This window comes from Homo sapiens, chromosome 1, assembly GCF_000001405.40.
Source record: "Homo sapiens chromosome 1, GRCh38.p14 Primary Assembly".
NCBI lineage: Eukaryota > Metazoa > Chordata > Mammalia > Primates > Hominidae > Homo > Homo sapiens.
The window spans coordinates 173,863,219-173,873,466 of record NC_000001.11 but is presented as its reverse complement, the minus strand read 5'-3'; the positions used below and the strand labels follow the sequence as shown (position 1 = coordinate 173,873,466).

General features: G+C 43.6%; 1 protein-coding gene, 2 long non-coding RNA genes and 11 other non-coding genes across 75 annotated transcripts in view, besides 4 other annotated features; 12 read left to right on the top strand and 2 right to left on the bottom strand.

Annotated features, from left to right (window-relative positions):
* ZBTB37 (zinc finger and BTB domain containing 37) overlaps window positions 1-5,385 on the bottom strand; it is a 35,466-nt gene extending 30,081 nt beyond the window's left edge. For 4 of the 13 annotated variants that reach the window (NM_032522.5, NM_001122770.3, XM_011510062.4 and 1 more), the window contains exons 1-3: window positions 5,062-5,087; window positions 4,347-4,542; window positions 2,319-3,267 (exon numbers count right to left, since the gene is read on the bottom strand). In NM_032522.5, the coding sequence (NP_115911.1) occupies window positions 2,319-3,241 (923 nt within the window). In that variant the 5' untranslated portion in view covers window positions 3,242-3,267; window positions 4,347-4,542; window positions 5,062-5,087. Of the gene's footprint in view, window positions 1-2,314; window positions 3,271-4,346; window positions 4,543-5,061; window positions 5,088-5,211 lie in introns of those variants that run through there. The other 9 variants (NM_001395199.1, XM_017002557.2, NM_001395201.1 and 6 more) reach the window with 5 other exon arrangements.
* Window positions 3,195-3,294: an enhancer, noted in NCBI's record as "active region_2118". NCBI's record gives its function as "activates an Ori minimal core promoter by ATAC-STARR-seq in GM12878 lymphoblastoid cells {active_cell/tissue: GM12878}" and the evidence as "EXISTENCE:reporter gene assay evidence [ECO:0000049][PMID:35858748]".
* Window positions 3,809-5,008: an enhancer, noted in NCBI's record as "BRD4-independent group 4 enhancer chr1:173837597-173838796 (GRCh37/hg19 assembly coordinates)". NCBI's record gives its function as "activates an origin of replication core promoter dependent on BRD2, P300/CBP, MED14 and CDK7 cofactors, and independent of BRD4, by STARR-seq in HCT116 cells {active_cell/tissue: HCT116}" and the evidence as "EXISTENCE:reporter gene assay evidence [ECO:0000049][PMID:35650434]".
* Window positions 3,809-5,052: a biological region, named in NCBI's record as "BRD4-independent group 4 enhancer GRCh37_chr1:173837597-173838796".
* Window positions 4,422-9,566, top strand: GAS5 (growth arrest specific 5). Of its 50 annotated transcripts, NR_186289.1 has the most exons (14): window positions 4,422-4,535; window positions 4,615-4,713; window positions 5,458-5,486; window positions 6,424-6,476; window positions 6,671-6,706; window positions 6,900-6,939; window positions 7,261-7,290; window positions 7,573-7,610; window positions 7,920-7,996; window positions 8,185-8,238; window positions 8,763-8,792; window positions 8,961-8,983; window positions 9,163-9,210; window positions 9,392-9,566. It is a non-coding gene; the product is annotated as a growth arrest specific 5 (long non-coding RNA). The 50 variants fall into 50 exon arrangements; NR_152521.2 differs by having other exon boundaries at window positions 4,422-4,713; window positions 7,920-7,957; NR_186290.1 differs by having other exon boundaries at window positions 4,422-4,713; window positions 5,458-5,507; window positions 7,920-7,957.
* Window positions 4,643-5,052: a silencer, noted in NCBI's record as "silent region_1557". NCBI's record gives its function as "represses an Ori minimal core promoter by ATAC-STARR-seq in GM12878 lymphoblastoid cells {active_cell/tissue: GM12878}" and the evidence as "EXISTENCE:reporter gene assay evidence [ECO:0000049][PMID:35858748]".
* On the top strand, window positions 5,722-5,793 carry SNORD74 (small nucleolar RNA, C/D box 74). Its single transcript, NR_002579.1, is given in 1 exon segment — window positions 5,722-5,793. It is a non-coding gene; the product is annotated as a small nucleolar RNA, C/D box 74 (small nucleolar RNA).
* On the top strand, window positions 6,529-6,588 carry SNORD75 (small nucleolar RNA, C/D box 75). The gene has a single exon (NR_003941.1). It is a non-coding gene; the product is annotated as a small nucleolar RNA, C/D box 75 (small nucleolar RNA).
* On the top strand, window positions 6,752-6,832 carry SNORD76 (small nucleolar RNA, C/D box 76). The gene has a single exon (NR_003942.1). It is a non-coding gene; the product is annotated as a small nucleolar RNA, C/D box 76 (small nucleolar RNA).
* On the top strand, window positions 7,097-7,166 carry SNORD77 (small nucleolar RNA, C/D box 77). The gene has a single exon (NR_003943.2). It is a non-coding gene; the product is annotated as a small nucleolar RNA, C/D box 77 (small nucleolar RNA).
* On the top strand, window positions 7,177-7,262 carry SNORA103 (small nucleolar RNA, H/ACA box 103). The gene has a single exon (NR_132783.1). It is a non-coding gene; the product is annotated as a small nucleolar RNA, H/ACA box 103 (small nucleolar RNA).
* Window positions 7,439-7,499, top strand: SNORD44 (small nucleolar RNA, C/D box 44). Its single transcript, NR_002750.2, has one exon. It is a non-coding gene; the product is annotated as a small nucleolar RNA, C/D box 44 (small nucleolar RNA).
* On the top strand, window positions 7,781-7,845 carry SNORD78 (small nucleolar RNA, C/D box 78). Its single transcript, NR_003944.2, has one exon. It is a non-coding gene; the product is annotated as a small nucleolar RNA, C/D box 78 (small nucleolar RNA).
* Window positions 8,037-8,117, top strand: SNORD79 (small nucleolar RNA, C/D box 79). Its single transcript, NR_003939.1, is given in 1 exon segment — window positions 8,037-8,117. It is a non-coding gene; the product is annotated as a small nucleolar RNA, C/D box 79 (small nucleolar RNA).
* SNORD80 (small nucleolar RNA, C/D box 80) lies at window positions 8,564-8,634 on the top strand. Its single transcript, NR_003940.1, has one exon. It is a non-coding gene; the product is annotated as a small nucleolar RNA, C/D box 80 (small nucleolar RNA).
* SNORD47 (small nucleolar RNA, C/D box 47) lies at window positions 9,022-9,098 on the top strand. Its single transcript, NR_002746.1, has one exon. It is a non-coding gene; the product is annotated as a small nucleolar RNA, C/D box 47 (small nucleolar RNA).
* Window positions 9,245-9,321, top strand: SNORD81 (small nucleolar RNA, C/D box 81). Its single transcript, NR_003938.2, has one exon. It is a non-coding gene; the product is annotated as a small nucleolar RNA, C/D box 81 (small nucleolar RNA).
* Window positions 9,526-10,219, bottom strand: GAS5-AS1 (GAS5 antisense RNA 1). Its single transcript, NR_037605.1, has one exon. It is a non-coding gene; the product is annotated as a GAS5 antisense RNA 1 (long non-coding RNA).
* Between the last annotated feature and the right edge of the window lie 29 nt (window positions 10,220-10,248).

Below are 10,248 nucleotides of genomic sequence, written 5' to 3'. Positions count from 1 at the left end.
CTGTTGGAAGAGGAACATAAAGGGGACTAATACAAAAGCAGCATCAAAGAACCTGAAAAATGGTGATGTCGCCCCTCTTTATTCTATGGCTGAGGAAGGGGGAACAAACCAAGCAACAAATAACTGAGGAATAGTTTTGTGGAGTTAATACATAATCTGATTTGAAATAATAGGTTAGCCCTAGTAAATTTAATAAACACAAAATGACATAACAGATAGAACATATGAGCTGGTGAAGCTAAAGCTAAATATAAGCTTTCTTCCTTATATAAATACTGGGAGACCATAAAAGAATAAATTAAAACGGGGCCTATAATTTTGTTTCTTCTACGTAATTACCAGGTTTTTGGCTGTTTCTTCCCCAAGGTCCCATAATAATCTGTATTTTAGACTATTGATATAGATCATGGAGATTAAAAAATCTTTGCATTGAAATTGATATTACTTTTTTTTTTTTTTTGAGACAGAGTCTTGCTCTGTTGCCCAGGCTGGAGTACAGTGGCGTGATCCCAGCTAACTGCAACCTCCACTTCCTGGGTTCAAGCGATTCTCCTGCCTCAGCTGGCCCAGTAGCTGAGACTACAGGTGCGTGCCACCACGCTCAGCTAATTTTTGTATTTTTAGTAGAGATGGGATTCACCATGTTGGCCAGGCTGGTCTCAAAGTCCTGGCCTCAAGTGATCCACCTGCCTCAGCCTCCCAAAGTGCTGGGATCACAGGTGTGAGCCACCACACCTGGCCCTGATATTACTTCTGATAGTTTTTTTTAAAATTTTATTTCCATAAGTTATCATGGAACAGGTGGTATCTGGTTACATAAGTAAGTTCTTTGGTGATTTGTGAGATTTTGGTGCACCCATCACCCGAGAACTTCTGATACAGTTCTAACATAGGAGGACAAGTTCTATGCTCAAGATTATTTTAATAAGGACACAGGAAGACAATACTCAAATCAAGATCACCTGAAGCCAGGCACAGTGGCAGGAGAAACGCCTGAACCCAAGAGGTAGAGGCTGCAGTGAGCCAAGATTGCACCACTGCACTCTAACCTGGGCAACAGAGTGAGACTTCATCTCAAAAATAAAATAAAATAAGGCCGGGCGCAGTGGCTCACACCTGTAATCCCAGCACTCTGGGAGGCTGAGGCAGGTGGGTCACGAGGTCAGGAGATCGAGACCATCCTGGCTAGCATGGTAAAACCCCATCTCTACTAAAAACACACACACAAAAATTAGCTGAGCATGGGGGCAGGGACCTGTAGTCCCAGCTACTCGGGAGGCTGAGGCAGAAGAATGGTGTGAACCTGGGAGGCAGAGCTTGCAGTGAGCCGAGATCGCACCACTGCACTCCAGCCTGGACGACACAGCGAGACTCCGTCTCAAATAAAATAAATAAAATAAAATAAAAAGACCACCTGAAGTGGATACAGTATACACTAACTGAATCTCTGTGATACATTTGTTTCTCAAGACCAAAGTAATAGTTTTTTAGTTTTCTTTGCTCATATAGTCAATTTAAATTTATTTTTAAGAGGGAAAAAGAACAAATATTACCAATCTAAATTAGTAATATTTCTTTCAATTGAGACTTTCTCTCAATTGACTGAAACCCATGGTATTTCCACCAAAAAGAAATGTCTAATAAATACAATGTATTAAAAGAGAAAAGTGAGGCATGGGGCATAGCAGCACTGGTGAAAAAAAGGGAGATTGTCAGGCCTGTGGTAGCAGCAGTCATCCATGAAAGAAAACAGGGAAGATACCATCACGTGACAAGGGAAAAAAGAGATGAAAAATATCCATAACGCTTTTCTTCAGAATTACTATTTTACTAATTTGAAAAGAACAATTACTGCTGGTACCATACTTCCTCTAATTTGGTAGTTGGGGGCAAAGAAAAGCAAGCAGTGCTACAAAGGAAAGTGAGACTCCTGGAGGCCACCTACCTGTGTGATAACACACCAAGGAAGGGCAATGCTGCTAGGTTCCCAGCTGATGATCGGCTCCCTGCCTCGAATCCCGAGGAAGCCCTGGCAATTACTGATCCTATCCTAGTGTGGCTGCAGATGCTATTCTGATTCACGGAAGTGTCTAACTTTACCACAGTTCTCACAACATTGTGAATACTTCAGGAATGGAGCTTCCTGGTTTAAAAAAATAAGAATGCAAGTCTTTTGGCACACCTCCAGTTTCCCCATCATCAACTTATTTTGACCAAGAAAATCAGGTAAGGAAAATGCTCTCTGTACTACAGAGGACACTTTAGTGATGTCTACACAATAGCCATTACATGGGAAAACCAAACCAAACCAAACCTACCTGTCAACTTCACTGCTTGTTGGCCGAGCCACCTTGGCTCCTGAAGACCCTAAAGTATAATTTTCCTGTCCTACAGAACCATGGCCTGTGGTATCAATCACCATGGCTGTTACTTCCTCTGCACTACTCCCATCTTCTCCAGAAGGCTGATTCTCAGGCCCAAGCCACTCCTCCAGATTTTCAGTTTTGATGTGTACTGCTCCAAGAACTCTAACTTCATCATCACTCCGACCCCCACGGTCCGCCACTCCTGTCTCCACATACCACTGTCCTGCTCGGTTGATCCGAAGAATGGGCTCCCGGCTCTCTACATCAGAACTTGGTTCAATGATCTGAGGGCTGGTGGACTCCTCAGGAGGACTTAGCTCTCTGATATCCAGCACAGCACTAACCTGACCTCGCCGGTTTCCCTTTGGGGTATTATGTCGTGGGCTAAGGGAGCGGTTGAGATTTGGTGTAACCCTGTGAGACTCTGGAGGTCTCTCTTGATGCTTTGTCCTTGTTTGACTTAATTCTGCTTCAACCTCAGCCACATTAATTTTGAAATGAATGCCCTCCAGGATCTGTGTACATTTGTCTATAATATGCTGCATTTGCAGAAAACTGGCAGCTGTTAGGTAGCTGATGATATCTGCCAGTTGCAGGCATATCCGCCCTGTGTAACAGAAAGAAAGGAGCTGTTCAAAAACAGTAGGGTTCTTGATGACTGAAATGGAGACTGTACTCATCTCATTCAAGGACATGTGATCCCGGAAATAGGGGGAGCTGGCAGCCAGCACCACTTTGTGAGCCCGAAAAGCTTGTCCTTGCACATTGACCACAATATCACAGAGACGGCCCTGCATGCGCAACTGGTTTAGATGGCTCAGGACAGAGTTGCTGAAGTCAGGAATCTCCAATTGTATGTTCCCACCTTTCTCCATGGTCGTGCCTGAGGGTGCATTCAACCCTGCTGAAAAAAGAAACCATATTCTCATTAATAATTATAATTTTACTTCCCGGATGGTTTCCATTTCAAAAGTATTTAAACATAGTTATCTGGTAAAGTTTCAAAATCTCCAGATAAAAGAAATACCTTCCTTATATTTAGATGTGGAAACAGAATCACCAACAGGTTTTTCAGTTTAAGTTTCACAGGAGGACATAGTTAAAACTAAAAAGTGATCTTTAGACTCCTAAAAATTCATGTTATGACCATGCTTTCCTTACTAATAAGTTATATAACATCAAAACAGAAGTTCAACAGAAGGTAGGGGGAAGGACTTTTAAGTGTTAACTATAAGGTACTTGCAGACTGAATATAACATCTCATAACTTTACAACTTTTCTCTGGAGGAGGAAAGCTTTCTGAATAAATGCAATTCTACATAGCTTGATATCCCTCTTCTTAGTATTTTACTACCTGCTGCAAGAATTATGTTTATTATTTTATAAAAGGACTAATATCCCACATGAATGTAGGCTAATATTTCTAAGCTTAAGAATCAGAGCCCCCCCCACAAAAAGACTTTGGTTATAGGGCTGTGAAGCAAACTCTAGGAAAAATCCCACAGCTGTGCCAGGATTCAACCAAGATGCAGAGAATGTGAAGTTCAGTTGTCAAAATTAGGAAAGCTGGGTAAATCTGCCAAATTCGAAGTTGGCAATTCCGAGGTGGTGATGAATACTTCCATCCTGAAACTTAGTTCTCCAGATCCGATGAAAAAATACAGCATTTACCAAGTATGCCAACATTTTTCCATTAAAATATTTTTAAAAAATGGCTGAAACACTAAACCTGAAGCTGTATACAAGATAGTTGAAAGTACAGTTTCAACTACTGAAAATAGTTTGTATAAATCCGAACAGGAAGACATTTACTTAAGCCCAATGTGCGTTCACTTATCTATATATTACATAGTTACACCACACCTGAAACTTCAGGAACTTACTCTGCCAAGCTCACAGTACTGCCCCGCATTAACAACACACTTATTAAATAGGGAAGTGTATACACTGTTTTCAACAATCAACTTTAGCCAATCTGACCTTTTTCCAAAGCGTTATTGTTTGTTTTGAAACTTTTAATCCAATAAGAGCCTCTGTCGATGCCATCATGAATTCAGATGTGTTTATTTTGGAGCCTACACCAGCGCCTTTTTTGTTTGCTCTTTCCGGCAATTCCCCAGTGAGGAAGCCCCTGGAGGAAAGTCTTTCGCTACCGTCGGCACTGGAGGGGTGAGAGCTGTAAAAGGGAGAATTGGGAACGGCATGGGGTTGGCCACTCCAGCACTTGAGCAGCTTTCTTCTGCGTTAGGAAGCCTGGGGAGAGGGGAACTGGCTAAAGGGCAAAATGTCACTGAGGAACTTCGGAGAAGATGGGGACAAGGCGTCGGGCGGGGGAGCCAGCGCTCAGGTGAGAACTAGGAAGGGGGCGGCGCCCAGGGACCGGCTCCAGGCGGCGGCGGGCGGGGAGCTGCCAGGAGGTGGGTGTGCGTATCTGGGTGTGTCCCGGCTGCGGTGGGGGAGGGGGCCGCCCTTCCCGGGGTCCTGAGGGAGGGGCCCCGCGAGGGGGCGGGTCCGGCAGATCAGCCCGGCCGGGGGCCAAGGGGGTGGAAGGTCGCCCGGTGCCTGGAGGCGGGGTGAAGGAAAGTAGCTGAGCGCCCCAGGAGCGCGCTGCGGCGGAGGGCGGGCGAGGTGACCCCGGTGCAGGGAAGTGGCACTGGGGTGTGGGGCCCGAGTCCAGTCAAGGAGCAGCACCTACCTCCGGGGGTGGAAATGGGCCGGAATGGGCCGGAACACCGTCCCGGAAGTGAAATCCCCCACCCCCTCCCACGGAGCGGGCGACGTGCCGGAAGGAAATCACTCAGCCTTACACCGCCCCCCCTTCCCCCATCCCCAGAGCTTTCCTTGCCTCGCGCCCCCTCCCCTCTCTGCTCTTCCTCCTCAGTCGGGAGGAGGGCGGGAGCACGGCATCACGTGGACGGTCATGTCTCTGCCCACAATGGCGAGGAAGGGCGGGGAAAAGGGGCGGACTTAAGGGGTGGGAAGAAGGTGATACTGGATGAGAGGAAGATTGAGGGAGGTTAGGGGGAGGAGCCGAAGCGGACGCTGCCGGGAGCGTGCGTCGTGACGTCATCAAAAGAACTCTTATATACAGGAGCCCAGGCACCATACTGTCTTTTCGAGGTAGGAGTCGACTCCTGTGAGGTATGTTTTATCTTTGCGAATGTTGCGGGTTTTGGGGCGCTCCAGCCTTTGTCTGCTAAGGTCACCCTGAATTGACTGGGACTTCTAAGCCAGTCGCGCGCCTTTGCAGGGCCTACAAGTTGAGGATGGTGGGGGATTGCACATATGGTGCATGCGTGACCTAAGCTGCGACTATGTTAGAGTAGAACTGCGGAGAAGCCTCGGCTCTCGTGCCCTGCCTCTGATGAAGCCTGTGTTGGTAGGGACATCTGAGAGTAATGATGAATGCCAACCGCTCTGATGGTGGCACATGCCGAGTCACCCGAGTAAGCTATTGTTAAGGGCCGTGACCCGAGCCTCCATCAGCCGTCCGCTCTCATGAAAGGCTGTCGGTGGTAGTCCACGTGCTTAAGTGCCTGCATTCCGCAGTGTCACCAATATTTCCATTAGTGTTTCTTTTTTCTTTTTTGAGACCGAGCCTCGTTCTGTCACCCAGGCTGGAATGCAGTGGCTCGACATCGGTTAATGGCAACCTCCGCGTCCCGAGTTAAGCAGTTCTGCCTCAGCCTCCCAAGTAACTGGGACTACAGGCGCGCGCCACCATGCTAGGCTTTTATATTTTTAGTAGAGACGGGGTTTCACCATGTTGGCGAGACTGGTCTTGAACTCCTGACCTCAGGTGATCCACCAGCCGTGGTCCCCCAACATACTGGGATTACAAGCCGTGAGCCACCGCGCCCGGCCGCCATCGGTGGTTCTTAACTGCGGGTGCAGTGCTTCTTTGTAACATTAAGTGTATCCTTTACCTGTCGCTAGATAATGAATGGTATGTTACCTGCATCATTGGTTTAAAAAGACGAACCGTTTTTTTAAAGAACACTCTTTAAAAAAAAGAACCGTGGAACAATGAATTAAAATCTGTACCTGATCTCTTTAGGTATGGTGCTGGGTGCAGATGCAGTGTGGCTCTGGATAGCACCTTATGGACAGGTAAGAATTGGGGAAAGTATGGTGGGAAGAATGAAATCTAAGAGGTGGTCTCAGCCTGTGATGCTTTAAGAGTAGTGGACAGAAGGGATTTCTGAAATTCTATTCTGAGGCTTTAATGTTAACAGCATTTATATTTAACGTGACTGCTGTGAGGTTCATTCTCACTGTTTTGCTTGCATCTTTTTGTTTTCTAGTTGTGTCCCCAAGGAAGGATGAGAATAGCTACTGAAGTAAGTTGAAAATTCCCTCTCAAAAAGGTTTAAAGCCATTGGATGTGCCACAATGATGACAGTTTATTTGCTACTCTTGAGTGCTAGAATGATGAGGATCTTAACCACCATTATCTTAACTGAGGCACCCAAAATGGTGAGTTGGGGAACATAGAGAGTACACCTAAGTTCACATGAAGTTGTTTCTTCCCAGGTCCTAAAGAGCAAGCCTAACTCAAGCCATTGGCACACAGGTGAGACACCTCTATTTTGTACTTCTCACTTTTAAGGGATTAGAAAATAGCCAAAGCAATGATGATTATCTATGTTAGTGCTTCTCTCCCCTCTTTTCAAATGAGAATTTTGCTCTCATATTGATACTAAGTTTAATACTGAAGAAAATGTGAAAACAGATACTATGATGGTTGCATAGTTCAGCAGATTTAATCATGAAGAGATGTACTATCTGTCTGATGTATCTGGGGTAGTTGTGGTTTGCTGTTAATGGTTAAGCAGTGTACCACCAATCTACCATTAAAATATTTTTTGCTGACAATTTTGTATTAAAATTACAGGCATTAGACAGAAAGCTGGAAGTTGAAATGGTAAGTGAAACTGTATCCAAGTAAGCAGGTAACTGGGCAAACTTCCTACGGCACAAATGGCTTTTTAGTTACCTCCTAGTGCTGAATGCATTAAATAAATGGCGGATTCTTGTCTTGTTATGATTAATAAGAAAGTTTGTAAATGCAGCCTGGATGATGATAAGCAAATGCTGACTGAACATGAAGGTCTTAATTAGCTCTAACTGACTAAAGGCATTTGTTAGTTTTGGCAGGGGGTGAACACTCATCTGTGGCTATTCTAAGACCACTCTTATTTCTTAGGTGGAGTCCAACTTGCCTGGACCAGCTTAATGGTTCTGGTAAGTATTAATGAAAACAGTAGATAGACTTAATGAAAATGCTGATGGTGATATGCTTACTGCTGAGCTAATGGCTTAAGGCTTGGCTGATGAATACTGACTGTATTTTCCTTGAGCATGTCTGGAACAGTGTTTATGTGTTTTCCTTGAGCATGTTTGGAACGGGGTTTGTGTAATGATGTTGATCAAATGTCTGACCTGAAATGAGCATGTAGACAAAGGTAACACTGAAGAACCCTGTGACAGACAACTTTGAAAAGAGTTTAATGATGTTTAGCATTTTAATGGAAGTCCTCATTTGTATTCCAGCTCCTGGTAACGTTTTTATCCATGGATGACTTGCTTGGGTAAGGACATGAAGACAGTTCCTGTCATACCTTTTAAAGGTACATGTTTTATTGATGTTAACGTTAATTGATTGAGCTACTGTTAGTGATGATTTTAAAATTAAAGCAGATGGGAATCTCTCTGAGAAAGAAAATGGAGATTAATCTTAAACTGAAACAGTAGTTGGGAAATCTTTTAGAAATCCACCTATTACTACCTATTGGTAAAGGAGATTAAATTTCTACAGGTATGGAGAGTCGGCTTGACTACACTGTGTGGAGCAAGTTTTAAAGAAGCAAAGGTATAGCAGTTCCAAGTATTTTTTTTTTTTTTTTAGACAAGAGTCTAGCTCTTGCCCAGAATGGAGTGCAGCGGCACTATCAGTTCACTGCAACCTCTGCCTCCCAGGTTCAAGGAATTCTCCTGCCTCAGCCTCTTGAGTAGCTGGGATTACAGGCATGTGACACCATGCCTGGCTAATTTTGTACAGCTATGTTGTCCAGGCTGGTCTCGAACTCTTGACCTCAAGTGATACTGCCCGCACTGACCTCCCAAAGTGCTGGGATTACAGGCGTGAGCCACCATGCCCCGCCTCAAGTCTGGTTTTTAAGTGTTGTAAAGCCGATACAATGATGATAACATAGTTCAGCAGACTAACGCTGATGAGCAATATTAAGTCTTTCGCTCCTATCTGATGTATCTGGCGGTAACATTCTAGTTTATGCCCCGAAAAGGGGAATATAGCCATTCTATAATGTTTGGAGATTTTGGATTACTCCTAATTGTATGCAAGTTGTCTTACTGTGTATTGTCCCTTAATTTCAGGACTCAGAATTCATGATTGAAGAAATGCAGGTTAGTTTAAACTTTGAAGGAAATTTTTAAGGTGGCAAAAGGTTTTGGTGGCATATACACCTTAATCTGTAGATGGGAGTGATTAGCTGTTTAAAAGTTAAAATGTGACTGAGAAGGAAATTGAGTAGGGCAAATTTTAAATGGGTATTATTTTTCATCTTCAAACAGGCAGACCTGTTATCCTAAACTAGGTGAGTCAGCTTTTGGTACATGTGATGATTTTCAGTGTAACCAATGATGTAATGATTCTGCCAAATGAAATATAATGATATCACTGTAAAACCGTTCCATTTTGATTCTGAGGTTACTCTACTAACAAGCATCACACATTTGTATTTTGCCCTGATTAATATGTTGGCTTCGCTTTCAGGGTTTTTAATGACCACAACAAGCAAGCATGCAGCTTACTGCTTGAAAGGTGAGGATTGGAAATGTTGGGACTATTATAATTGCAGAATACATGATGATCTCAATCCAACTTGAACTCTCTCACTGATTACTTGATGACAATAAAATATCTGATATTCTGCATTCCCATGTAGCATTTTAATTGAAGTCTGTAAATGTGGCTAAAAGTCTTGTCTTATTTTTTGAGACAGGGTCTTGCCTCACCCAAGCTAGAGTGCAGTGGCCTTTGAAGCTTACTACAGCCTCAAACTTCTGGGCTCAAGTGATCCTCAGCCTCCCAGTGGTCTTTGTAGACTGCCTGATGGAGTCTCATGGCACAAGAAGATTAAAACAGTGTCTCCAATTTTAATAAATTTTTGCAATCCATCTGGAGTGTGTAGTGTTTACTTAAAAAAGGACAGTGCTTTTCATCTGTTCATTAGCTGTAAGCATAAATCACATTCAAAAGCTATTATAACTCCATGGTATTTGCTTCATTAACACTGCAGCCAGTTAAAATTTTATGGGTATTTTACAAGGTGTCTTATGCATTAAAGTGCAATATTTCCTAATTCTCCATATGAGCAAATTGTCAGGTTTCATAGGCCCCTGTGCTAATTGGTTTTGAGCTTAAAGTATTGATGGAGCTACTTGGAGAAAGTCATGTTGAGTCTGAGGCTGGGAAAATAAGTTATAGAAAATACTATAGAAATGCCCAACTAGTGATAGGCATTAATGGAATTGGGAAAATCTACAATCCATAGCCATGGTGATAGGTTTTTGGCAAGCACTAAGTGTTTAGGGATGCCAAAAGTGGGTATAAAGGGCACAACTGGTTTAAGGCAATCTGTCCCAGGGAAACAGGACCAAGGGGCCAAAATTCCAAGATGGGTCAAATTTTAATTTCAGTGTCAGTACAGCTGTGCTTATAATGATGTCTTTGTTAGCAGTAATGGTTTTACAAATCTGTTTCTGGGCTAAAGCACTTTAGTCCCATTAATGATAAAACTTCAGTTACTCTCTGAATTTTCCTTTTTTTGAGACTGAATCCTGTTGCCCAGGCTGGAGT